Genomic DNA, 27,383 nt, shown 5'->3' with positions numbered 1-27,383 from the left:
CCACTGCACTCCAGCCTGGGTGACAGAGCGACGCTCCCTCTGAAAAAAGAAAAAAAAATTCTGTATTCACAAATAGCTTGATACTAGCAATCACTTGTTTACATTGTAAATAGGCAGCAGGCTGAAAATTTTTGATGACTTAATTGCAGGTTCACAGCTATGAAGGCAAGCCAAAGGGCTACCTTGCCAGGTCTGTAAAACTGATGTACATAGTATGAGCTGCTTGATCTTTGAGTAATCACAAAAGACAAATCAGGCTGGGCATGGTGGCTCATGCCTGTAATCCCAGTGCTTTGGGAGGCCGAGGCAGGTGGATTACTTAAGGTCAGGCATTGGAGACCAGCCTGGCCAACATGGTGAAATCCCATTTCTATAAAAAAAACAAAAGTTAGCTGGGCATGGTGGTGTGTGCCTGTAGTCCCAGCTACTCAGGAAGCAGAGGCAGGAGAACCGCTTGAACCCGGGAAGTGGAGTTTGCAGTGAGCCGAGATCATGCGACTGCACTCCAGCCTGGGAGACAGAGTGAAACTCTGTCTCAAAAGAAAAAAAAAAAAGGAAAGAAATAAAAGACAAATCAGCAAAAAGAGGAATTCATAAAAAGAGAATAAAGCTTTGCAAAAAAAGAACCTGTCTTTGGATCTTCAGAAGTGACTAAAATATTTTAATAGGTCCCTTTTAGTGCCTCTTTTTGCTTGCCTATGAAATATTGACAGATCTTCCCAACTGGGGGAAAAAAAACCCAAAATTCATTAAACTCACTGTGTCTTATTTGGTTAAATAAAAAGAGGTAGAAAGACTATTATGAGAAAAGAGAAGCAATAGAAACTGTGGAAATTGGAGTTCCAAACATCAATCTTAATTTGATTGAATAGTAGAAAGTATATAAACTATGGAAATTGATGTTCCAAACATCAATCCGCATTCCTGAGCAATTTTCAAATTGGTCACCAGCTCTCCACTCCTCCTGTCATGAGTCACTTATACCTTAAAAAGTATATCCTCTGAGAATTCTGAAAGGTATCCAGACCTTCCATTAGACAACTTCCAATCCATATGTGCCTCAAAGTTGTGTCTTCATTTTCCTCCTGTTCCATTTCCTTCAGATTTCCACCAAGATATGCATGTTGAGCTTTGTTTTGAGACTACATCCAGATGTCACCTACCTCTCCTGTGGCCTTAAAAAGATTCTATAAGCACAGAGAGATCAGCCTGAGACATCTGAAGACCTAAGCCTGCATCCTTCCTGGTTTTTGGATTAAGGGAATGTAAAGATGAGAGGAAAATGAGCAAGGCGAGGTGATAACTCATTTCTAAATAAAACAGGAATATTTTTAAAAATCTGACACTGCTAAAGGCCAAGTCATACAGTAGGATTCCCACCAGGCCAGGCTGTAAATATTGATTCTCCTCTCTGCAACCCCAGTGTTCAGGCTTCAGAGTAACAGTCTTAGTTCCTCCAACCACATTTCTAACCACAAGGTCACTGCACACTTCACCATCCTGGCCATCTTCCTTTAGCACATACAATTGTAAGTTTAAAAATTTTATCTTTTATTTTCAGTCCTCCCACAGCTGTTGGGACTTGGACAAACCTACCTTATAATCAAATATTTGCGGTGTTTTCTAGTTTGAAAAGCACTGTTCAAAAGTTATCTCATTTAATCTTTACAACTGTTGACTTTACAGATAAAGAAAACTGCAGATCAGAAAAGTTAAATAAATGCCCAAGGACACACAACTTGTAAGAAAAGAAGCCAGGGCTAGGCTAGGCCGGCTGCAGTGGCTCACGCCTGTAATCCCAGAACCTTGGGAGGCCAAGACAGGCGGATCATCTGATGTCAGGAGTTCGAGACCAGCCTGGCCAACATGGTGAAACCCCGTCTCTACCAAAAATACAAAAATTAGCTGGGTGTGGTGGTGGGAACCTGTAATCCCAGCTACTCAGGAGGCTGAGGCAGGAGAATCACTTGAACCCAGGAGGTGGAGGTTGCAGTGAGCCAAGATCGTGCACTCCAGCCTAGGCAACAAAAGTGAAACTCCGTCTCAAAAAAGAAAAAAAAAAAAAGAAGCCAGGGCTAAAACCCACCTGTGCCCTTCATCTTCTAGTTCTGGGTTCTTTTCATGCCACCAATTGCACTTCAAAGAAGTGGAAACATTTTGAAGTTTTTGATAAGACTAGTAGCAAGGCTTATTTTCAAATAGTCTATGAATTTTTATAGCTTGTAGAAGGTCTGAGGAAGATATAATTTCATTTGTATCACTTCAGAAGCAATACAAAAAAAAGTATTATCCTATTTCTTTATTTTATATTCTAGGCCTATTAGAGAACAATAAATTAGATAAACTCAAAATCCACTTAGGCCTTCATGTATCCTTTTTTTTTTTTTTTTTTTTGAGACCAAGTCTCACTCTGTCACCCAGGCTGGAGTGCAATGGCATGATCTAGGCTCACTGCAACCTCCTGGTTTCAAGCGATTCTCTCAACTCTGCCTCCGGAGTAGCTGGGACTGCAGGCACGTGCCACCATGCCCAGCTAATTTTTGTATTTTAGTAGAGATGGGGTTTCACAGTGTTGGCCAGGCTGGTCTTGAACTCCTGACCTCAAGTGATGAGCCTGCCTCAGCCTCCCAAAGTGCTGGGATTATAGACGTCAGCCACCACACCCCACCTGCTCTGATATTTATTATTTCTTTTCTTCTGCTAATTTTGAGTTTGGTTTGCTCTTGCTTTTGTAGTTCTTTAACACGTACCATTAGGTTATTTATGATTATTAGATTAGTTTTTCTTCTTTTTAAATGTAGATACCTATAATTATAAAATTCCCTCTTAGTACTGCTTTTGCTGTATTCCATAGGTTTTGGTATGTTCTGTTTCCATTATCATTTGTTTCAACAAATTTTTCAATTTCCCTCTTAATTTCTTCATTGACCCACTGGTCATTCAGAAGCATATTGTTTAATTGCTGTGTATTTTTATAGCTTCCAAATCTCTTGTTTTGTTACATTGTGGTCAGAGAAGATGCCTGATGTTATTTCAATTTTTTTGAATTTTTTAAAGCCTTGTTTTGTGATTTAACATATGGTCTATTCTTGAGAATAATCCATGTGCTGAGGAGAAGAATGTGTATTCTGCAGCCTTCAGATGAAATGCTCTGTAAATATCTATTAGGTCCATTTGTTCTATAGTGCAGTTTAAGCCTGATGTTTCCTTGTTGATTTTCTGTCTAGAAGATCTGTCCATTGGTGAAAGTGGGATGTTAAAATCTCCAGCTATTATTGTACTGAGGGCTGTCTTTTTACCTTAAATAATATTTGCTGCTTCATATATCTGGATGCTCCAGTGTTGGGTGCATATATAATTGTTATATCTTCTTGCTAAACTGACTCCTTGATTATTATATAATGACCTTCTTTGTTTCTGCCGCCTATAGAGACAAAGAAGGTTATTATATAATGATGAAAGAGTCCAGTTTTTTGTTGTTGTTGTCATTTTTTGAGATGAAGTCTCACTCTTTCACCCAGGCTGGAGTGCAGTGGCACAATCTTGGCTCACTGCAATCTCTGCCTCTAGGTTCAAGTGATTCCCCTGCCTCAGCCTCCCGAGTAGCTGGGACTACAGGTGCCCACTACCACACTTGGCTAATTTTTGTATTTTTAGTAGAGACAGGGTTTTCACCATGTTGGCCAGGCTGGTCTCCAACTCCTCATATCAAGCGATCCGTCCGTCTCAGCCCCCCAAAGTGCTGGGATTACAGGCGTGAGCCACTGTGCCTGGCCCATTGTATGTTTTTCAATTTGGGGTTACCATGAGGCTTGCAACTACTGTTTCATAACCCATTGTTTCAAACTGATGACAACTTAACACTGATTGCATAAACAAACAAATAAGCAAAAAGAAAACTAATAAAAACTCTTAACTTCATCCTCCTGCTTTTTAACTTTTTGTTGTTTCTCTTCATGTCTTATTGTACTGTCTGTCATGACAAATTGCTGTAGTTATTATTTTTGATTAGTTCATTGCTTAGTCTTTCTGCTTAAGAGTATTTTGAACACCGTAATTAAAGTGTTATAATATTCTATGTCTTTCTGTGTGCTATTACCAGTGAGTTTTGTAGCTTCACGTGACTTCCTATTGCTCATCAATGTCCTTTTCTTTCAGATGTAAGAACTTTCTTTAGCATTTCTTTTTTTTTTTTTGAGATGGAGTCTCACTCTTTTGCCCAGGCTGGAGTGCAGTAGCATGATCTCAGCTCACTGCAACCTCTGCCTCCCATGTTCAAGCAATTATAGTGCCTCAGCCTCCCAAGTAGTTGGGTCTACAGGCATGCGCCACCACACCCAGCTAATTTTTGTATTTTTAGTAGAGACACCTGACCATGTTGGTCAGGCTGGTCTGGAACTCCTGGCCTCAAGCAATCCACCCGCCTCAGCCTCACAAACTGCTGGGATTACACGCATGAGCCACCACGCTTGGCCTCCTTTAGCATTTCTTATAGGACAGGTCTAGTGTTGATGAAAATCCCTTAGCTTTTGTTTGTCTGGGAAGGTCTTTATTTCCCCTTCATGCTTAAAAGATATATTTTGCTGAATATACTATTCTAGGGTTAAAGTTTTTTTTTTCCCTTCAGCATTTAAAATATGTCATGCTAGTTTCTCCTGGCCTATAAGGTTTCCACTGAAAAGTCTGAGGCCAGATGTATTGGAGCTCTATTATATTTTATTTGTTTCTTTTCTGTTGCTGTTTTTAAGATCCTTTCTTTATCTTTGACCTTTGGGAGTTTGATTATTAAATGCCTTGAGGTTGTCTTTTTTGGATTAAATCTGCCTGATGTTCTATAACTTTCTTGTACTTGAATATTGATATCTTTCTCTGGGTTTGGGAAGTTCTTTGTTATTATCCCTTTCAATAAACTTTCTATCCCCATCTCTTCCTCAACCTCCTCTTTTTGGCCAATAGTGCTTAGATTTGCCCTTTTAAGGCTATTTTCTATATCTTGTAGACATGCTTCATTGTTTTTTACTCTTTCTTTTTGTCTCCTCTGACTGTGGATTTTCAAATAGCCTGTCTTCAAGCTCATTAATTCTTTCTTCTGCTTGATCACGTCTGTTATTAAGAGACCCAGATGCATTCTTCAGCATGGCAGTTGTACTTTTCAGCACTAGAATTTCATTTCTTTTTAATAACTTCAATCTCTTTGTTAAATTTGTCTGATAGAATTCTGAATTCCTGGCCAGGCGCAGTGGCTCACACCTGTAATCGCAGCACTTTGGGAGGCTGATCACTTGAGGTCAGGAGTTCAAGACCAGCCTAGCCAAAATGGCAAAACTCCATGTCTACTAAAAACATAAAAATTAGTTGGGTGTGGTGGCACATACCTGTAATTCCAGCTACTTAGGAGGCTGAGGTGGGAAGATCACTTGAACCCAGGAGGCAGAGGTTGCAGTGAGCCAAGATCGTACCACTACACTCCAGCCTGGGCGTTCATCTCAAGAAAAAAAAAAAAGAATTCTGAATTTCTGTTTTGTGTTTCTTGGATTTCTTTGAGTTTCCTCGACACAGCTACTTTGAATTCTCTGTCTGAAAGGTCACATATCTGTTTCTCCAGGATTGGTCCCTGGTTCCTTATTTATTTTGTTTGGTGAGGTCATTTTCTCCTGGATGGTCTTGATGCTTGTAGATGTTCGTTAATGTCTGGGCATTGAAGAGTTAGGCGCTTATTGTAGTCTTCACAGTCTGGGCTTATTTGTGCCCATCCTCCTTGGAAAGGCTTTCCGGGTATTTTGAAGGAACTTGGGCCCCAAGTCCAATAATATTATGTTTCTTGCAGACTCATAGAGGTGCTGCTCTGGTAGTCTTGGATAAGATCTGGAAGAATTCTCTAGATTACCAGGCAGACACTTTTATTTTTTTCTCTTATTTTTTCACAAGCAGCGTCTCTCCCTGACTCTGTGCTGAGTCTCCTGGAACTGGAGGTGGAGGGACACAAGTACCCTGTAGCCACCACCACCAGGACTGTGCTGGCTGAGACATGAAACCAGCACAGCACTGGGCCCCACCCAAGGCCTGCTGTAACTACTATCTGGCTACCACCTAAGTTCACTCTAGGACCTAGGGCTTTATGATCAGCATATGGCAAAGCCAGTCTGATTTATGTCCCTCCATTCAGGGCAGTGAGTTCCTCCAGACCTAGGTTGGTCCAGAGATGTTGTCTGAGAGCCAGGGATTTAAGTCAAATACCTTAGAAATTTACCGGGTATTCTACTCTACTGCAGCAAAGCTGGCACTCAAACCATAAGACAAAGTCCTTCCCACTTTTCTCTCCCTGTGGCCACCACCATAAGCACCCCACGAGGGGTTCTGCCAGGCTACCGCTGATGTTCACTTAAAGCCCAAGGGCCCTTTTGTCAGCTTGTGATGAGTGCTGCCAGACCTGACACTCACTCTTCAGAGTAGTGGGCTTCCTTCTGGTCCATGGCAGGTCCAGAAATGCTAACCAAGAGCCTAGGCTTGGACGTGGGGACCTGAAGAGTCTGCTTATTGCTCCACCCCACTGTGGCTGAGCTGGTACCTGAAGTGCAAGACGGAGTCCCCTTTACTTTCCCCCCTGTTTTTCTCAAACAGAAAGATCTTTCGCTGTAGCCACCACAGCTGGGAATGTGCTGGGTCACACTTGAAGCCAGCATGTCTCAGAGCCCAAGGCCCATAGTGTATTACCTGGGTATTGCTGGTGGTTATTCAGGGCCTAGGGGCTCTTTTGTCAGCAGGAGATGAATCCTGCCAGGTCTCCACTGTGAGACGGCAGCACTAAGTTCAATGTAAAGTCCCCCGGTTGCTGTGCTCTCCCTCTCCCAAGCACAAAGATTTCTCTGCACCACATGGCCACTGCTGGGGGGTGAGGGAAGGGTGACAAAAGCACCCTCCCAAGCCACCCCGGCTGGTGTCTCAGTAGGTTTCATGCCTGCCCAGTCCACTGGCTCTGAGCCCAGCTCAGCACTAGGACTTGCCTAGGAATTGCACTCCTTGTGACCTAGACTGACCCTTAAGTTCACTTAGTGCCCCAGAGCACTCCAGCCCACGGTAATGAGGCTTGCTGGAACTCAAGCTCCCACCAGTGGGATGGACAATTTCTCTCTGGCTAGAGCTGGGCCAAATGAACATCAGCTGAGTAGAACCTGGTTCTGCTTTCCACTGTAACAGGGGAGCACTGGGTTCAATGAAAAGCCTCACAATTGCTGCACTTTCCCTCTCCCAAGCACCCAGATTCTCTGTGCTACATGGCCGCTGCTGGGGGATGAAGGAGGGGTGGCGTCAGTGCTTCAATGCTGTCTTTCCTGCCCTCTTCAATGTCTCTTTCAGTGATATAAAGTTAAAATCAGGTACTATGATTGCTCACCTGATTTTTGGTTCTTATGATGGTGCTTGTTGTGTGTAGTTAGTAGTTAAAATTTGGTGTTGCTATGTGGAGGATGAACAGTATAAGCCTCTATCAGCCGTCTTGCTCTACCCCATTCTCTGTTAATTTCTCAGGCACCAATAAGTGTGTGTAACTGTAATATGCCCATTACCCAATGTGCACAGCAAGTCAACGTGCTGATATATTGGATTGCAGCAGAGAAAGAGGTTTAAGCGAAGGGTTGCTGAATGAGGAAATGAGAGTAAACCTAAAATCCATCTCCCTGAGAAATTTGGGGCTAGGATTGTTAAGGGTTTTGGAGTTGGCTGAAGTGTGGAGATATTGATTGGTCGAAGAGTGCAGGGTGAAATCATGGCCCAGGAAGATGAAAAAATGTGTTTTCATGCTGATTCAGTTCTGCTGTGGGGGTCTTCAAACTGGTTGGCATCAGCCATTCCACTGGAATTCAGAGTCTGCTTAAGCAATTCTTAAACAAGTCTTATGAATCTAATGTCAGAAATCCTATCTATAGGAAAAACAGGGTTGCAAATTGTGAGTATCTAGTGCTATGTGACTTTTGGTTACAAAGAAGTGGGTCAAAATATAGCATGATTAATGCTTAATTATAGCTATATTTCTGTCCAAAATTCTTATTAACCCTGTGAGAATGGCTTTATTAGTAATTGGTAAGTCAAGTCTGTGCTTTCTAGCAATAGCACTGGGTATTTCTACCCTAGTAGAAGGCACGCACATATAGCCAATGTCTTATCCTTGCTTCTCTGCTCTTCTATGTGTTGAATTAATTTTAGCTGGGCTGGGAACAGTGACCTTCAGCATGGCTCCAATCACTTTATACTTACCAGGGAAGCTTTTTAAACATTTCATTCCTAGGCTTTGCTTTATATGTACATAAGTCAAAGTTCCTGGAGGTGGTGGTCTAAAATCTGTATCTTTATCTTTATCTTCCTGAATAATTTTAGGACCATATTTAGCATTTGAAAACCTCTGGCATAGGCTATGCAAACAGAAACTCTCTTATCCGACCTCTACTTAACTGGCTTTTCAATTTTGTAAAATGTAAGAAATGAGGCTCACAGCATGTTGCTACCCTTCCTGTATTCTCCAGTGGTAATTATTGCTTAGTGTGTATTCTTTCAGGCCACTTCTAATGTACTTCAATGGATAAATATGTGCTTATTAAATATATATAGTAGAAAATATGCTTTTAAGAAAATGGCATGCCTGATGAATCCTTCTGCAACTTGCTTTTTACACCTACCAATGGAATTTGGAGATCTTCCCAGATAAGAATACATGGCTCCATCTCATCCTTATTAATAGCTGCCTAGTTTTTCAAAGTTGGACCTGGTTTATTTAGGTGGTCATTTATTGATGGACATTTTAAGCTTAACATCTCTTCCTATTTTAAACAATGGTCCAATGAATATGCTTGTACATTTTTCCTTGTGTGCATGGAGGTTAAAATGCAGTCATTGAGTGTGCATTTTAAACATTTCAGTAGAATCTGTCAAATTCCGCTTACAGGTTACTGCACCAATATATATTCCCACCAGCAGAGCATGAAATATCTATTTTATCCATGGTCTTGCCAGTATTTGATAATATCAAACTTGATTATTTATTTATTTATTTGACACAGGGTCTTGCTCTGTCACCCAGGCTGGAGTGCAGTGGTGCGATCACTGCTCACTGCAGCCTCAATCTTCCAGGTTCAAGTGATCTTCCCACCTCAGCTTTCCAAGGAGCCGGGACTACAGGTATGCACCACTATGTCCAGCTAATTTTTGTATTTTTTTGCAGAGATGGGGTTTTGCCGTGTTGCCCAGGCTGGTCTCAAACTCCTCAGCTCAAGCAATCTGCCCACCTCAGCCTCCTAAAGTGTTGGGATTACAGACATAAGCCACTGCATTTGGCCCAAACTTGATTTTTTTTTTCTTGCCGATATATCTAATAAGTGTTACTTCATTTTAATAAAAATTTGCATTTTGCCATTTTTAATGAGGCTGTGTTTTTGCATATGTTTATTGACCATTTCTATTTCCACTTTTTTGAACTGCCTGTTGATGCATTCTTATACATAATTGTGTCAGTAATATTTTTGTTTTTGAAAATTAAACTTTTCTCTTAATTTTTAATTTTTAAAAATGTACATTTGGGGCATATGTGATAATTTAATACATTTATATTATTTGTAAAGATCAAATCAGTGTAATTGAGATATCCATTACCTTAAATATTTGTCTTTTATTTATGCTAGAAACACTTGCATTATTGTTTTCTAGCTATTTTGAAATATGCAATAAACTATTGTAAGCTATAGTTTACAAATATAGTCACTCTACTGATCTAGCAAACACTAGATCCTATTTCTTCTATCAGACTGTATATTTGTACCCATTAACCCAGCTTTCTTCATTCCCCTCACCCTTCCTGGCCTCTGGTAATGACAAATTTATTTTCATCTTCATGAGATCCACTTTTTAAGCTCCCACATAAGAATGAGAACATGTGATATTTGCCTTTCTGTGCTTGGCTTATTTTGCTTAACATAGTAACCTCTAGTTCCATCCAAGTTCCTACAAATGACAGGATGTCATTCTGTTTTATAGATTAACAATATTCCATTGTGTATATATACCACATTTTCTTTATCCTTTCGCCCAATGATGGGTACTTAGGTTGATTCCATAGTTTGGTTATTGTGAATAGTGCTCCAGTAAACATGAAAGTGCAGATATCCCTTTGACATATTGATTTTGCTTCTTTTGTATATATACCCAGTAGTGAAATTGCTGGATCATATAGCAGTTTTTAGTTATTTGAGAAACCTCTATATAGTTTTCCATAATAGCCGTACTAATTTACATTCTCACCACCAGTGTATGAGTGTTCCTCTTTCTCCACATTCTCAACAGAGTCTGATATTCCCTGTCTTTTTAATAAAAGCCATTTTAACTGACTTGTGATAATTCATTGTGGTTTTGATTTGCATTTCTCTGATAATGAGTGATGTTGAACATTTTTTTATATACCTGTTGGCTATATGTATGTATTTTTTTTTGAGAAATGTCTATTCAGATTGCTTGCCCATTAAAACAATTGAATCATTTGTGTGGGTTTTTAAATTTAATTTAATTTAATTTTTTTTTTTTTTTACCATTGAGTTGTTTGAGCTCCTTATATATTCTGGTTATTAATTTCTTGTTAGGTGGATAGCCGTAAATATTTTCTCCCATTCTGTGGGTTGTCTCTTTGCTCTGTTGCTTGTTTCTTTTGCTGTGCAGAAGCTTTTCAGCTTGATATAATCTCATTTGTCTATTGTTGCTTTGGTTGCCTGTGTTCTTGAGGTCTTACACAAAAATCTTTGCCCAGACCAATATCTTGGAGAGTTTCCCCAATGTTTTCTTCCAGTAGTTTCATGTCTTAGATTTAAGTCTTTAATCTATTTTGGTTAGTTCTGTTGTATACGGTAAGAAATAGGGGTCTAGTTTCATTCTTCTGCATATGGTTATCCAGTTTTCCCAGCACCATTTATTGAAGAGACTGTCCTTTACCTAAGGTATGTTCTTGGTGCCTTTGTCAAAAATGAGTTGGCTGTAAATGTGTGGATTTATATCTGGGTTCCCTATTTTATTCCACTGGTGTATGTGTTTGTTTTTATGCCAGTACTATGCTGATTTGGTTACTATAGCTTTGTAGTACATTTTGAAGTCAGGTAATGTGATGCCTCCAGCTTTGTTCTCTTTAATTAAAAAAAAAATTTAGAGGCAGGTTCTTTCTCTGTCACTCTGGCTGGAGTGCAGTGGTGCTATCATGGCTCACGGCAGCCTCAACCTTCTGGGCTGAAATATTCCTCCTGCCTTGGCCTGCCGAAGTGCTGAGATTACAGGTTCAAGCCATCACACCTGGCCTAGCTTTGGTTTATTTTGCTCACGACTGCTTTGCCTATGTAAGGTCTTTTGTGGTTTCATGTAAATTTTAGGATTTTGTTTCTATTTCTGTGAAGAATGTCATTGGTATTTTGATTGAGATTGCATTGGATCTATAAATTGTTTGGAGTAAGATTATCATTTTCATAATATTAATGATTTCAATTCATGAGCCTGGAACATCTTTCCACTCTTTGTGTCCTCTTCAATTTCTTTAATCAGTACTTTATAGTTTTCCTTATATATATATCTTTAACTTCTATGGATATATTGGTTCCTAGATATTTTATATTCTTTGTAGCCATTGTAAATGAGATTGCTTTTTTGATTTGTTTTTCAGATTGTTACTGCCCACTTACAGTAGCTTATGTAAGTGCTACTGATTTTTGTATGTTGATTTTGTATCCCACAATTGTACTGACTTTGTTATTTCTAACAATGTTTAGGTGAAGTCTTTAGGTTTTTCTAAGTATAAGATTATATTGGCTAGGCATGGTGGCTCATGCCTATAATCCTAGTACTTTGGGAGGCCAAAGTGGGTGGATCACTTGAACCCAGGAGTTCGAGACCAGCCTGGGCAACAAGGCAAAATCCCATCTCTATGAAAAATACAAAAATTAGCCAGACATAATGGTGTGGGCCTGTAGTCCCAACTACTCAGGAGGCTGAGGCAGGAGGATTGCTTGAGCCTGGAAGGTTGAGGCTGGTGTGCAGTTACACCACTGTACTCCAGCCTGGGTGAGACAGAGAGGGAGACCCTGTCTCAAAAAATAAAAAATAAAAATGAAAATAAAATTATGTCATCTGTGAACCAGACTGAGTTGACTTCTTCCTTTGCCATTTGGAAGCCCTTTATTTCTATCTCTTGCCTAATTGCTCTGGCCAAAATAAAACTCTTTTTAACCTTAGAGAAAACTGAGCAGCCATAGTCTACCAATGAGTTAGGCTTTGGAGATGGTGTGTCCTGTGTTCTGAATATTTGCATCCCTCACCAAATCCAAATGTTGAAATCCTAATCCCTAAGGCAATGGTACTAGGTGGTCAAAGCCTTTAGGAGGTGATTATATTACAAAAGTTGAACCCTCATGAATGAGATTTGTGTCCTTATAAAATAGGCCTGAGACCCCTTACTTCCACCTTGTGAGGACATAGTGAGAAGTTTCCCTCCATTAGGAAGGTGGCCCTCAACCAGACACCAAATCTGCTGTTGCCTTAATCTTGGACTTCCCAGTTTCAGAACTGTGAGAAATAAAATTTCTGTTATCTATAAGCGACCCAGTTTATGATATTTTGTGATGGCAGCCTGAGTGAACTAAAATGGTGGGGTATGACATCTTTGAGCTCATCAGGATATGCTGCAGTACAGTTAAGACTGATTGAATTTGCAACAGTAGGACTGATCCATTGATTACGTGGCCTATTGCAGTATGCAGAAAGACAAAGGGGTAGAATCCCTCACCTTACACCAATTAGTACCTGTCAGGGTTTAGTGCAGGAAAAAGCTATTTTAATCAGGAAGGAACTTAGTAGAGAAAGTTAGATGCTTACAAAACCATTGAAAGATGGTTTTGAAAGGAGCAAAAATTGGTCACTAGGACTAGGCTTTTGGCTTCAAGGTGATACATTGCCACTTCTGGGGTCCAGAGGTCAGGAAGCCACTGTGGCAGTAGAATAGGCAATGTTGCCCAGCACTGCCCACACTCACATCTATTGGAGCCTACATGTGCTCCTGCACCTCCACAGGAATACAATGGCCTCCACCTCTCTTCCGCTTTCTTTTCCTTCCTTCGTCCCTCCCTCCCTCCCCTCTCTCTCTCTTTCTCTCTCTGTTTTTCTTTCTTTCTTCTTTCTTTCTTTCTTTCTTTCTTTCTTTCTTTCTTTCTTTCTCTCTCTCTCTCTCTCTCTCTCTCTCTCTCTATTTCTTTTTTGACAAGGTCTCACTATGTTGCCAAGGCTGGTCTCAGACTCCTAAGTTCAAGTGATCTGCCTACTTCAGCCTCCCAAAGTGTTAGGATTATAGGCGTGAGCCACCGTGCCCAGCCTAGCCACTGTGCCTCACTTTCTTCTATTTTCAAATGTCATGTAACTGCCTCAAGGGCAGAGACTACATCTAAACTCCTAGCTGCAAGGGAGCCTGGATACTGTAGTTTTTAGCTATCAATGCAAAAAATAGAGCATGTGAAGAGAATAGCAGTAGATGCTGAATATCAAAAGTCTCCATCCTTCCAAAATACAGTCATGTGCCACATAACCATGTTTTGGTCAATGATGAACCACATGTATGATGGTGATACCATAAGATTATAATGGAGCACATATAGAAACCTGATACCTGGCACAAGATACTGGCACTGCACATTAAGTGGGGGAAAAGATTGATATTCAATAATGGTGATAGGGCATTTAGTTTTCCATGTGAAGAATATATATAAATAATAATATATATACCTTCTAGGTCTGTGGAAGTACATGCTACGATCTTTGCACAATGACAAAATCTAGTGATGCGTTTCTCAGAATGTGTCCCAGTTGTTAAGCTCCGCATGACTGTATTGAAACTTAAGTTGCCATCTGGCACTTACTAGGTGCCTACCTCCTGCAAAGCATTCTCATTTATCTAATAGATGAATGAATAATCACTTAATAGGTAGAATTTCCATTAAGTGTATCAAACTCTGCTGATAGACAGTACTCAGTATCTGTAGTACTCTGCAAATCTCCCCATTCCCCATTTAAGGTATCAGGGTCTGGCAGGTGCAGAAGTGAAATGGGAGGCAACAGAAGCTCTCTTAGTCCCTTCCTCTCTCAAATCAGATCCCTTTACAGCTGCTCATCTTCAGGTCAGAGGCAGTGCAACTGTATAACTTGAAATCATGATAGTCTATTTTCTAACATTTTATTATCAGTAGATCATGTTTTCTTTACTCAAACACACTATGTGTAATAGTCCTCTTCTAGCCACTCTCATGGCATATTACTCTATGAAACACTTTAATCAAAGATAAAATGTGACTCTTTTTGACATCTTAAAGGCATCTACCCCCAAAAGGTATCTACAGCAAACATTTATTGCTGGTGAAATCTTTCTAGTAGATTACAGTTAATACATTATTGGTTTATTATCATTTGCATATGTATGGGCAACACTACGTTTTTTCAAAAAAGGCAACCTAGAAATACCATTTGACCCAGCCATCCCATTACTGGGTATATACCCAAAGGACTATAATTCATGCTACCATAAAGACACATGCACACGTATGTTTATTGCGGCACTATTCAGAATAGCAAAGACTTGGAACCAACCCAAATGTCCAACAATGATAGACTGGATTAAGAAAATGTGACACATATACACCATGGAATACTATGCAGCCATAAAAAATGATGAGTTCATGTCCTTTGTAGGGACATGGAAGAAATTGGAAATCATCATTCTCAGTAAACTATTGCAAGAACAAAAAACCAAACACCGCATGTTCTCACTCATAGGTGGGAATTGAACAATGAGAACACATGGACACAGGAAGGGAAACATCACACTCTGGGGACTGTTGTGGGGTGGGGGTAGGGGGGAGGGATAGCATTAGGAGATATACCTAATGCTAAATGACGAGTTAATGGGTGCAGCACACCAGCATGGCACATGTATACATATGTAACTAACCTGCACATTATGCACATGTACCCTAAAACTTAAAGTATAATAATAATAAAATAAAATAAGAAAATTAAAAAAATAAAAATAAAAAAATAAAATAAAATAAGATCATATCATTAAAAAAAAAAAAAAAAAGGCTAGCTTGGAACCCAGGCACCACACGCCATTACTGGCTTCCTGAGTACACATCCTTTAGCTCTTACCTACAATTCTCTCCTAGAAATTATTGTTTGAATGCTGTGTCCAGAAGGTAACATATATATGTGTATACACACACACATACACACATGTATGAAAAACTAAATTGCTGCTTAGACATATAGAAAAGTTTTCCAAATTTTTGAATTCATAAAGTCTATCAACCTGATAGCATTTCTCAAAAAATTTTTTCAATGGGTAGAGGACTTGTGCTTTTCTTTTATTCTATTGAGAAATTCTCAAACCTCTAAGAAATTGTGCAAAGGAAATTTAAATCATATGAAGGACATAGTCAAAATGTGTAGCTACAAGGACTACACATTTCAATTGTTGAGAAACAGTTTACTCTCAATAATTTGTGAATGTTTGTTTTAATCTGCCAAATTCTGAGGAAGATAGTGTAAAAAGATATAATTTTTAAGGTATTTTTAATAAATCTGGTAACTTTTTGATCAGAGGACATTCAAATAAAATGTAGAGTATAGAGCAGAAATTCAGATGCAGTTTTTTTAAAATGTAATGTATGGGCCGGGCTTGGTGGCTCACACCTGTAATCCCAGCTAGGAGTTCAAGACCAGCCTGGCCAACATGGTGAAACCCAGTCTCTACTAAAAATACAAAAATTAGCTGGGTATGGTGACGTGCACTTGTAATCCCAGCTACACAAGAGGCTGAGGCAGGAGAATAGCTTGAACCCAGGAGGTGGAGGTTGCACTGAGCCAAAATCACACCTCTGTGCCTCCTGAGTGACACAGCCAGATTCTATCTAAAAAAAAAAAAAAAAAAAAAAAAAAAAAAAAAAAAATCAGAGCAGAAATGAATGAATTTAAAATGAACGAAAAATACAAAAAATTGACAGAACAAAAAGTTGGTTTTTTGAAAATATAAAATCGGCAAATCATTATCCAGACTAAAAGATAAAAAGAAAGAAGACAAAATAAATAAAATCAGAGATGAAAAAGGAGGCATTACAACTGATATCACAGAAATTCAACGGATCATTAGTGGCTACTATGAGCAACTGTATGCCAACACATTGGAAAGTCTAGAGGAAATGGATAAATTCCTAGACACATACAACCTACCTACCAAGATTGAACCATGAGGAAATCCAAAACCTGAACAGACCAATAACAAATAATGAGATCAAAGCCGTAATTAAAAGGTCTCCCAGCAAAGAGAAGCCCAGAACCTAATAGCTTCTCTGCTGAATTCTAGCAAACATTTAAAGAAGAAATAATACCAATCCTGCTCAAAATGAACTGAAAAAATAGAGGAGAGGGAAATACTTCCAAACTCATTCTACAAGGCCAGTATCATCCTGATACCAAAACCAGACAAAGACACATCAAAAAAAGAAAACTACAGGCCAATACCTCTAAAGAATATTTTTGCAAAAATCCTCAACAAAATATGAGCAAGCTAATTCAGCAATACACTAAAAAGATTATTCATTCATCATGATGAAGTAAGATTTATCCCAGGGATGCAAGAATGGTCAAACATACGCAAACCAATCAATGTGATATAACACATCATATCAACAGAATGAAAGACAAAAACCATGTGATCATTTCAATCGATGCTGAGAAAGCATTAGATAGAATTCAACATCTCTTCATGATAAAAACCCTCCAAAAACTGGAAATAGAAGGAACATACCTCAACATAATAAAAGCCATATATGACAGACTCACAGCTAGTATCATACTGCATGGGGAAAAACTGGAAGCCTTTCTCTAAGATCTGGAGCACAAGTATGTCCACTTTCAACAATGGAAAGTACTGGAAGTCCTAAATGGAAAAATTAAACAAGAGAAAGATAAAGGGCCTCCAAATTGGAAAGAAAGAAGTCAAATTATCCTTGTATGTAGATGATATGATCTTATATTTAAAAAAAAACCTAAAGACTCCACCAAAAAACTATTAGAACTAATAAACAAATTCAGTAAAGTTACAGGTTACAAAATCAACATAGAAAAATTTGTAGCATTTCTATATGCCAACAGTGAACAATCTGAAAAAGAATCAAAAATGGAATCCCATTTACAATAGCCACAAATAAAATTAAATGCCCAGGAGTTAACCAAAGATGTGAAAGATCTCTACAATAAAAACTATAAAACACTGATGAAAGGAATGGAAGAGGACACTTAAAAATAGAAATATATTCCATATTCATGTATTGGAAGAATCATTATTGTTAAAATGTCCATTCTACCCAAGGCGGTCTACAGATTAAATACAATCCCTATCAAAATACCAATGACATTCTTCACAGGAATAGAAAAAACAACGCTAAAATTTATATGGAACCACAAAGACCCAGACTCACCAAAGCTATCCTGAGCAAAAAGAATGAAACTGGAAAAATCACATTACCTGACTTCAAATTATATTACAAAGCTATAGTAATCAAAACAGCATGGTACTGGCATAAAAACAGACACATAGACCAATTGAACAGAATAAAGAAGCCAGAAACAAATCTATACACCTACAGTTAACTCATTTTTGACAAAGGTGCCAAGAATATACATTGGAGCAAGGACAGTCTCTTAAATAAATGGTGCTGGGAAAACTGGATATCCATATACAGAAAAATAAAACTAGACCCCTACGACTCATCATATACAAAAATCAAATTAAAATGGATTAAAGACTTGATCTTAAGACCTCAAACTATGAAATTACTACAGGAAAACACTGAGGAAACTCTCCAGGACATTGGTCTGGGCAAAAAATTCTTGAGTAATACCCCACAAGCATAGGCAACCAAACAAAAATGGACAAATGGGATCACATCAAGTTAAAAAGCTTCTGCACAGCCAAGGAAACAATCAACAAAATCAAGAGACAACCCACAGAATGGGAAAAAAATATTTGCAAACTACTCATCTGACAAGAGATTAATAACGAGAATATATAAGGAGCTCAAACCTCTCTGTAGGAAAAATTTAATAATCTGATTTAAAAATGGGCAAAAGATTTGAATAGTCATTTCTCCAAAGAAGCCATGCAAATGGCAAACAGGCATATAAAAATGTGCTCAACATCATTGATCATCAGAGAAATGCAAATCAAAACTACAGTGAGATATCATTTCACTCCAGTTAAAATGGCTTATCTCCAAAAGACAGGCAATAACAAATGCTGGTGAGGATGTGGAGGAAAGGGAACCCTCATACACTGTTGGTGAGAATATAAATTAGTATAGCCATTATAGACAACAGTTTGGAGGTTCCTCAAAAAAAACCTAAAAATAGAGCTATCATGCGATCCAGCAATCCCACTGCTGGGTATATACCCAAAAGAAAGGAAATCAGTATGTCAGCTATCACCTCCATGTTTGTTGCAGCATTGTTCACAATAGCCAAGATTTGGAAGGAACCTAAATGTTCATCAACATATCACTGGATAAAGAAAATATGATACATATGTACAATGGAGTACTATGCAGCCATGAAAAGAATGAGATTCTGTCATTTGTAACAACATGTGTGGAACTGGGGGTCATTATCTTAAGTGAAATAAGTCAGACACAGAAAGACAAACTTCACATGTTCTTACTTATTTGTGGGTGGTAAAAATCAGTACAATTGAACTTGTGGAGATAGAGAGTAGAAGGATAGTTACCAGAGGCTGGGAAGGGTAGTGAGGGGTTGGGGGTAAGCGGAGATGGTTTTTGTTTTTGTTTTGAGACAGAGTCACACACTGTCACAGGCTGGAGTGCAGTGGCATGATCTTGGCTCACTGCAGCCTCCACCTCCCAGCTTCGAGCAGTTCTCATGCCTCAGTGTCCCAAGTAGCTGGGGTTACAGGCACCCACCACTACACCTGCTAATTTTTGTATTTTTAGCAGAGATAAGATTTCGCCATGTTGGCCAGGCTGGTCTTGAATTCTTGGCCTCAAGTGATCTGCCTGCCTGGGCCTCCCAAAGTGCTGGGATTACAGGAGTGAGCCACTCCGCCCAGCCTGCGGATGGTTAGTGGGAACAAAAAGTGTATACAGTTAGAAAGAATGAGTAAGACCTAGTATTTGATAGCACAAAAGAGTGATTATAGTCAATGATATTTAACTGTACATTTAAAAATATCTAAGAGTGTAATTGGATTGTCTGTAATACAAAGGATAAATGCTTGAGGGGATGGATACCTCATTTTCCATGATGTGATTATTGCTTATCGCATGCCTATGTCATGTACCCCATAAATATATACAGTTACTATGTACCCACAAAAGTTTTAACATAATAATTTTTTTAAAAAAAGAAATTAACTACCAGTGGCCAGGCGTGGTGGTTCATATCTGTAATCCCAGTGCTTTGGGAGGCCAAGGTAGGAGGATGGCCTGAGAAGAGCTGGGACCTCCTGGGAAGTGATTAGGTCCTGGGGGATCTGCCCTCATGAATGGAGTGAACTAGCTTAGGTCCTTTTTGCTCTCTTGCTCTTCCGCCTTCCACCACTTGAGAACACAGCAACATGGTGACGTCTTGGGAGCAGACAGCAGCCCTCACAAAATACCAATGCTGGTGCCTTGATCTTGAACTTTCCCACCTTTGGAACTGTAAGAAATAAATTTACACTCTTTATCAATTACTCATTTATAGTATTCTGTTATAGCAGCACAGACAGACTCAGACAGAAATAATAACTAAAATTTTAAAAAATATATCTACTGGGGCCAGGCACCGTGGCTCATGCCTATAATCCCAGCACTTTAGGAGGCCAAGGCAGGTGGATCACTTGAGGTCAGGAGTTTGGGACAAGCCTGGCCAACATGGTGAAACCCTATCTCTAATAAAAATACAAAAGTTAGCTGGGCATGGTGGCTTGTTCCTGTAATCCCAGCTACTCGGGAGGCTGAGGCAGGAGAATCGCTTGAACCCAGGAGGTGGAGGTTGCAGTGAGCCGAGATCATGCCACTGCACTCTAGCCTGGGCCGTAGAGCAAAACTCTGCTTCCAAAAAAAAAAAAAAAATCTATTGGGTTTTAAATTATACAATCATTCTAGAAAATGTCTTACAATACAATGTTGTATAAGCTAAGTATAAAAAGTAAAAAGAGTAAAAATGGCCAGGCGTGGTGGTTCACACCTGTAATCCAAGCACTTTGGGAGGCCAACGTGGGCGGATCACAAGCTCAGGAGTTCGAGACCAACCTGGCCAATATGGCGAAACCCTGTCTCTACTAAAATACAAAAATTAGCTGGGCGTGGTGGCGCACACCTGTAGTCCCAGCTACTCAGGAGACTGAGGCAGAAGAATCGCTTGAACCGGGGAGGCAGAGGTTGCAGTGAGCTGAGGTCACACCACTGCACTCCAGCCTCGGTGACAGAGTGAGACTGCATCTCAAAAAAAAAGGAAGCGTAAAAATTTACAAAATCCACTTCCTTCCAGCCCCAATTCTACAAAGCAAAGGCCACCACTGCTGTTGATATGTATATATAAGCTTCATGAGGGTTTGTCTGTTTTCTTTAACATTATATCCCTAATTTTTGGCAGTGTCTAATGCATAGTAATCATTCAATAAATATTCATTGATTAAATGATTAAAGTAATGTTCTGCATGTATATTTTTTACTTTAGTATCACATTTAGTGTGTATATATAAGATTACATTGTATTCTATATAATTAATATATTATACATTATTTAACCAATGCCTGAACTTTTAGGCTGTTTATAATTTTTCCTATAGCAAACAATGCTGATACAATCAACCTTTTATGCACATCTTTGTACTTGTGTGATTCTTTCTGAAGAACAATTTTTAGAACTGGAATTACAGTGTCAATGTGCAAACATATTAAACTTTTTTTAGTATTTCTTTCCTCTATTTTTCTATTTAGGGGGCTTTTTTTCTAATTACAAAAGTAGTGCATGTTGTCTGTAACAAGTCTAATTATAATGCTAAAAGTTACCAAACATTTATTGTGTACCAGTCACTATGCCAGGATTTTTTGTGTATTACCTTATGTACTGGCTGGCTAGGCCAAGGGAGGGTAGCCCATGGAAAGCCCCAAAGTAAGGAAAATTAAAAAAAAAATTCTTCCGCATGAGAACAGATGAGGAAATATTGTTTCAATGACAATACAGCAAGAATTACATGTTCTAGAATGCAGCCATTTGGTTCGGGGATGATGTGCCTTTCCAAGGATGGTTACTTTTTACAATAGTAAGTATAATTTTGGGAGCTGACCTTCTTGAGGATATAAAAGACCTAAATTCTACATTGTTGTGATTCTCTCACCAGGCAGACATCTCATTCTATATCTATGCTAACAACTAATTGTTAGCATCTCTGACCTTTGGAGACTTTTCCATAAAAAGACAAAGGAGGCAATGGGAAACCACATCTACCTACTTGCATTTTTATCTTACATAGACCTTCAAGGTAACTTAGTTTAAGCAGACTTAAACAGAATCCAGATCATTATTCTCATTCATCTTTTTGTTTTTGTTTTTGTTTTTGTTTTTTTTCTGAGATGTAGTCTCGCCCTGTTGCCCAGGCTGGAGTGCAGTGGCGCGATCTCGGCTCACTGCAAGCTCCGCCTTCCGGGTTCACGCCATTCTCCTGCCTCAGCCTCCCTAGTAGCTGGGATCACAGGCGCCGGCCATCACGCCCAGCTAATTTTTTGTATTTTTAGTAGAGACGGGGTTTCACCGTGTTAGCCAGGATGGTCTCAATCTCCTGACCTTGTGATCCGCTCGCCTCGGCCTCCCAAAGTGCTGGGATTACAGGCGTGAGCCACCGCGCCCAGCCTATTCTCATCCATCCTTAAGACTGGACTCTTTGGTCATTGTTAACTGACTTTTTCGTATAGGATAAATTCTTAAACATGAGATAGTAGTCAATTCTGCCAACATTCAGTTGTTGTTTCTGAATTTCCCACATTGCTTAAGGTCAACTCCACCATGACGCTATAAAAACACTTTTCTCCATTTTTTCATATATTTGTATAGGTTTGTTTTTACATTTAAGTGAATTTTAAAGATAAAACTTACCTATCTATATGGAATGAGGAAGGAAACCTCTTACTTTCATATACATAACCAATTATGTTACACTATTTATTACATAAACCATACTTTATCAATGATTGCAGTGCCATCTTTGTCATATATTAAGTCCTAACAAATACCTAAATATGTTCCTACAATCTCTATTCTATTTACAGATCTACTTGACAGCTGTCGAACCAATACATGCCATTCTGACCATAATACCTTTAAGATAAGTTTGACCATTTAACATAAGAAGTAATAACCAGACCGGGCTCAGTGGCTCACGCCTGTAATCCCAGCACTTTGGGAGTCCGAGGTGGGTGGATCACCTGAGGTCGGAAGTTCAAGACCAGCCTGACCAACATGGAGAAACCCCATTTCTACTAAAAATACAAAATTAGCTGGGCGTGGTGGCACATGCCTGTAGTCCCAGCAACTCAGGAGGCTGAGGCAGGAAAATCGCTTGAACCCGGGAGCCGGAGGTTACAGTGAGCTGAGATCGCACCATTGCACTCCAGCCTGGGCAACAAGAGTGAAATTGTCTCAAAAAAAAAAAAAAAAAAAAAAAAGTGGGGAAAAAAATCTTCCTCAGCTGAAGAAAGAAAAAAAAAACAAAACTGACGTGGTAGACAAAATAGTCTAAAGGAATTCCCTACTACAAAATAATGAGATCCTGCACAAAACAAAATGTTTATTGCTGGGCTTCCAGGAAATAAGGTAAACCTCTGACAGTAGGTCCAAACCTTGAACTGACACCAGAATAGAAGTCCTAAGATGCTTAAAAAGTCAGCTTGTCCTGCAGGCATATGTGATATCAGCTCTGCAATGTAGAGTTCAAATTTTGGGTCAATAGAAAAAAAATAGAAGCTGAAGCTGAGCTTTCCTGATTAAAGAAAGGGAACAAAAGTGACTCCTAGCAGAAGCTATTCCGCTCACAGTTTCATTCGACGGATTTTCTACAAGTTAAGGTTAATGAAATCTGACTGCCAAGCATACGTGTTAATGAGTTTCTTCTGAGTGAGAGCCAGCTGAAATCACAAACAACAGATTTGGACACCCTTAATTATTTTAATTATGTATAAGATGTTTTAAATAAATAGGAGATCTTTTTTGTAGTTCATAAATGCGATGATTGGGTTTTCATGTTTATGTGTGAGATGTGCTTCCCTCAAACCTTGTTATGATGTCAGTACGTTATCCATCTGATGTGGAAGAAAAAGAAAACAAACAAGAAGAAATAAATAGGAGTCATAAAGCAATAAATTACAGAAACACAAATATGAGGAATAAAAGATTATCCAAAGTGGCCAGACTTTAGAAGAAGCCAAAGTGAATTTTTAGTTTTTAAAAATTGTTGAAGTAAAAATTTGAATATATGGATAAAAATTAGATACAGCTTAAAACAGAATTAGTAAACTGGAAGTTGGGTAGAATAAATTATCCAGAATACAGCCCTCTCACTCCCAAATGGATAGTATGATAAGAGATAGAAGTGTATATATCTAATTCAAATCCAGAAGTAGAGAACAGATAAGACTGAGAAGTGGCAATATTTGAAGCTATTTGCCAGGCACGGTGGCTCACGCCTGTAATCCCAGCACTTTGGGAGGCTGAGGTGGGTGGATCACATGGTCAGAGGTTCGAGACCAGCCTGACCAACATGGTGAAACCCTGTCTGTACTAAAAATACAAAAATTAGCTGGGCATGGTGGCAGGCACCTGTAATCCAAGCTACTCAGGAGGCTGAGGCAGGAGAATTGCTTGAACCTGGGAGGCGGAGGTTGCAGTGAGCCGAGATCGCGCCACTGCACTCCAGCCTGGGTGACAGAGCGAGACTCTGTCTCAAGAAAAAAAAATTTGAAGCTATTATGGCTGAGAATTTTCCAGAAGCAATGTATGACATTGATCCACAGATACAGATGGAAAATGAATACCAAGGAAAACAAATAGAAAGAAATCTACACTTAAACATATTTCTGTGAAATACAAAACACCAATGCCCCTCCCTACCACTCCCCTCACACACACAGAATGCAACTACTGAGATAAAATAGATTACCAATAATGGAATGACAATTAGAGTGATAACAGACTTTTTCATAATGTGGGAAGGCAGGAGATAGTGGAATAATATCTTCAAAGTGTTGAGAAAAAATTCTGTCAATCTTAAATTGTATACCCAGAAAAACTATCTAATTTTAGGAAATGCATTGTGAAGTATTTAGAGGTAAAGTACTTAAGAGTACTATAAATCTGTAACTTAACTTCAAACATTTAAGAAAAAAAATACATAAATAAATATATGTGTACACACATATATATTTAAAGAGAGAGAGAAGCAAATAAGATAAAATGTTAACATTTGGAGAATCTTAGTGAAGGGGATATTTGGGAATTCTTTATGCTATTTTTACACCTTTAGGAGTATAAAATGATTTCAAAATTTCAAAAGATAAAACTTACAATAGCAGTAATAAATATAAGTACCTAGAAATAAAAGATATGAAGAAGACTACAAAGGAGAAACACACTGCATTGATGAGAGAACACTTAGTATTATACAATGTATATAATTATACAATTACACACTACACTTCACAACATCCCCCACATTTACCTACAGACTCAATGCTTTTCCTATAAAAATCCCAAAAGGAGTATTTGAGTAACTTAAGCTGACTCTAAAATTTATGTAACAGATAAAAGACCCCAAAATAATTAAAATAGCCCTGAAGAACAACAACAACAAAAAACATGAGTGAGGACATGCCCTGTCAGATAGCAAGACTTATCATAGATGACATAGTACTTAACACAGCTTAGTATCAGTTCAGATAGACAAAGTAATCATCTGAACAAAATTGAAAGCCTGAAAAAAAAGGCCCACACTTACGTGGACACTTGATTTATGACAAAAATGGTGAACTATTCAGTAAATGGTGTTGGGACAATAGGTTATGAAAAAAAACAAAGAAAATCATATACTTATATATCATACACAGAAGCAGTCTCTGCTGTATTATATACAAAACTTGAATTCTCTTAGAGAACGTTATAGGATAATATTTTTATAACCTTAAGGTAGGGAAGTATTTCTTAAACAAGATTGAAAGGCACAGATAAATTCAGCTACATTAAAATTAAGAACTTTTAGCCAGGCACGGTGGCTCACGCCTGTAATCCCAGCACTTGTGAGGCGGAGACGGGCGGATCACTTGAGGCCAGGAGTTTGAGATCAGCCTGGCCAACATGGTGAAACCCCATCTCTACTAAAAAATACAAAAACTGAGTATGGTGGTGCACGCCTGTAATCCCAGCTACTCAGGAGGCTGAGGCACAAGAATCACTTGAACCCAGGAGGTGGAGGTTGCAGTGAGCCAAGATCACGCCACTGCACTGCACCCTGGGTGACAGAGTGAGACTCTGTCTCAAAAAAAGAAAAAAAAAAAGAACTTTTGTTCTTTAAAAGGCACCATAGAGAAATAAAGAAGCTATTTGCTACACTTATAATCATTGAAGGGTTAGTATCCAGAATATCCAAAGTCCAAAAAATTAGTAATCCATAAAACAGTAAATCAGTAAAACACACATGATGCAATATAGTTCTGGACAGGAAGTATGAGCAGGCATCTCACAAAAGAGAAAATATGAATGGTGAAAAGAGATATGAAAGTTCCTCAAACTCACTAGTAATTAGCAAAATAAGACCATAAGGAATTATATTTTACACCCACTGGATTGCCAAAAGTTAAGAAGCCTGAGTCTACAGAGTTGGTGAAATTTTAGATCAACTGTAACTCATATATACAATTGTTGGGGCTGGGCATGGTGGCTCACACCTGTAATCCCAGCACTCTGGGAGGCTGAGGCAGGAGGATTGCTTGAGCCTAGACATTCAAGACCAGCTTGGGCAACATAGCAAGACCCTGTCTCTACAAAACAAAATAATAATAATTTAAAAAGTAACTGGGCATGGTGGTGCTTGCCTGCATTCCCAGCTACTTAGGAGGCTGAGGTGGAAGAATTGCTTGAGCCTGGGAGATTGAGGCTGCAGTGAGCTGTGATAATGCCTCTATACCTCAGCCTGGGTGACAGAGTGAGACCTCATCTCAAAAACAATAAATTAATTAATTAAATAAATAAAACCTCATCTTGGTAAGCTTCTTCTCAATACACAGGTGACTATATTTCCAGATTTTTAAAAAAATGTGGTTTCTTGGCCAGGTGTGGTAGCTCACACCTGTAATCTCAGCACCTTGGGAGGCTGAGGCAGGTGGATTGCTTGGGCTCAGCAGTTCAAGACCAGCATGGGCAACATGGTAAAATGCCGTCCCTACAAAAAATACAAAAAACAAAACAAAACAAAACAAAAAAATTACCCGATCATGTTGGCACGTGCCTGTAGTCCCAGCTACTCAGAAGACTGAGGTAGAAGAATCGCTTGAGCCCAGGAGCTTAAGGCTGAAGTGAGCCATGATCATGCCACTGCACTCCAGCCTGGGGGACACAGTGAGATCCTGTCTCAAAAGAAAATAATATATATATGTTTCTTTAAAGATATCTTTGGATTCTTTGAGGTTTTTACAAATACTAACATAATCTTCATCTCTTTAGCAAGGCTATCCACATTGACTCTGGATATATATCCAGGAGTAATTTTTTAAAGTTTACTTACAATCATAAAACTGTGTTTGCATTGCTCAGTAGCCCTGCATAGTTTACTAAAACAGTTCAAATCATTTCGACATAGTAACACCAGCTAATTATCACAAACTAATCACACTTGGAAGAATTGTTTCCTTGACTAACAATTGCCATATCTCAGAACCGTTACTTCTCAATAATATAAGCTCTTGGTCATTAGGATTGAAAAAAGAGGAGATGAGCTCATCATCATCTTTGGAGAGACAAGCAGGGGGCAAAAGCAACAAGACTGCATGTCCTGGCTATTTTCCCCAGAATAGATTCCAGTTTGCCTTTCTCCTAATATGCTCAGAATATAAACCAACACTTCACATTTGGTCTATTTCTTGCTTCAGTCATTACGCTTTCATTAGTGGACTTTTTAGTTCCTTTAATTCTTTATCTCTCACTAGCACTACTTTTTAATATTTCATTTTATAGTCTTTATTAGCTTATTGGTTGTATCTCTTTTTATTTGTTCTCTTTTGTCT

At 38.9% G+C, this 27,383-nt stretch overlaps 1 non-coding gene across 1 annotated transcript, besides 1 other annotated feature; it reads left to right on the top strand.

Moving 5' to 3' along the window:
• Window positions 4,407-4,625: a silencer, noted in NCBI's record as "fragment chr4:55008059-55008277 (GRCh37/hg19 assembly coordinates)". NCBI's record gives its function as "represses an EF-1alpha promoter that drives an FKBP-Casp9 reporter gene in an ReSE screen in K562 erythroleukemia cells {active_cell/tissue: K562}" and the evidence as "EXISTENCE:reporter gene assay evidence [ECO:0000049][PMID:32094911]".
• LOC124900899 (small nucleolar RNA U13) lies at window positions 23,313-23,417 on the top strand. The gene has a single exon (XR_007058541.1). It is a non-coding gene; the product is annotated as a small nucleolar RNA U13 (small nucleolar RNA).
• The last annotated feature ends 3,966 nt before the right edge of the window (window positions 23,418-27,383 follow it).

This window comes from Homo sapiens, chromosome 4, assembly GCF_000001405.40.
Source record: "Homo sapiens chromosome 4, GRCh38.p14 Primary Assembly".
Classification (NCBI taxonomy): Eukaryota; Metazoa; Chordata; class Mammalia; order Primates; family Hominidae; genus Homo; species Homo sapiens.
This window is presented reverse-complemented; position numbering and strand designations above follow the sequence as displayed.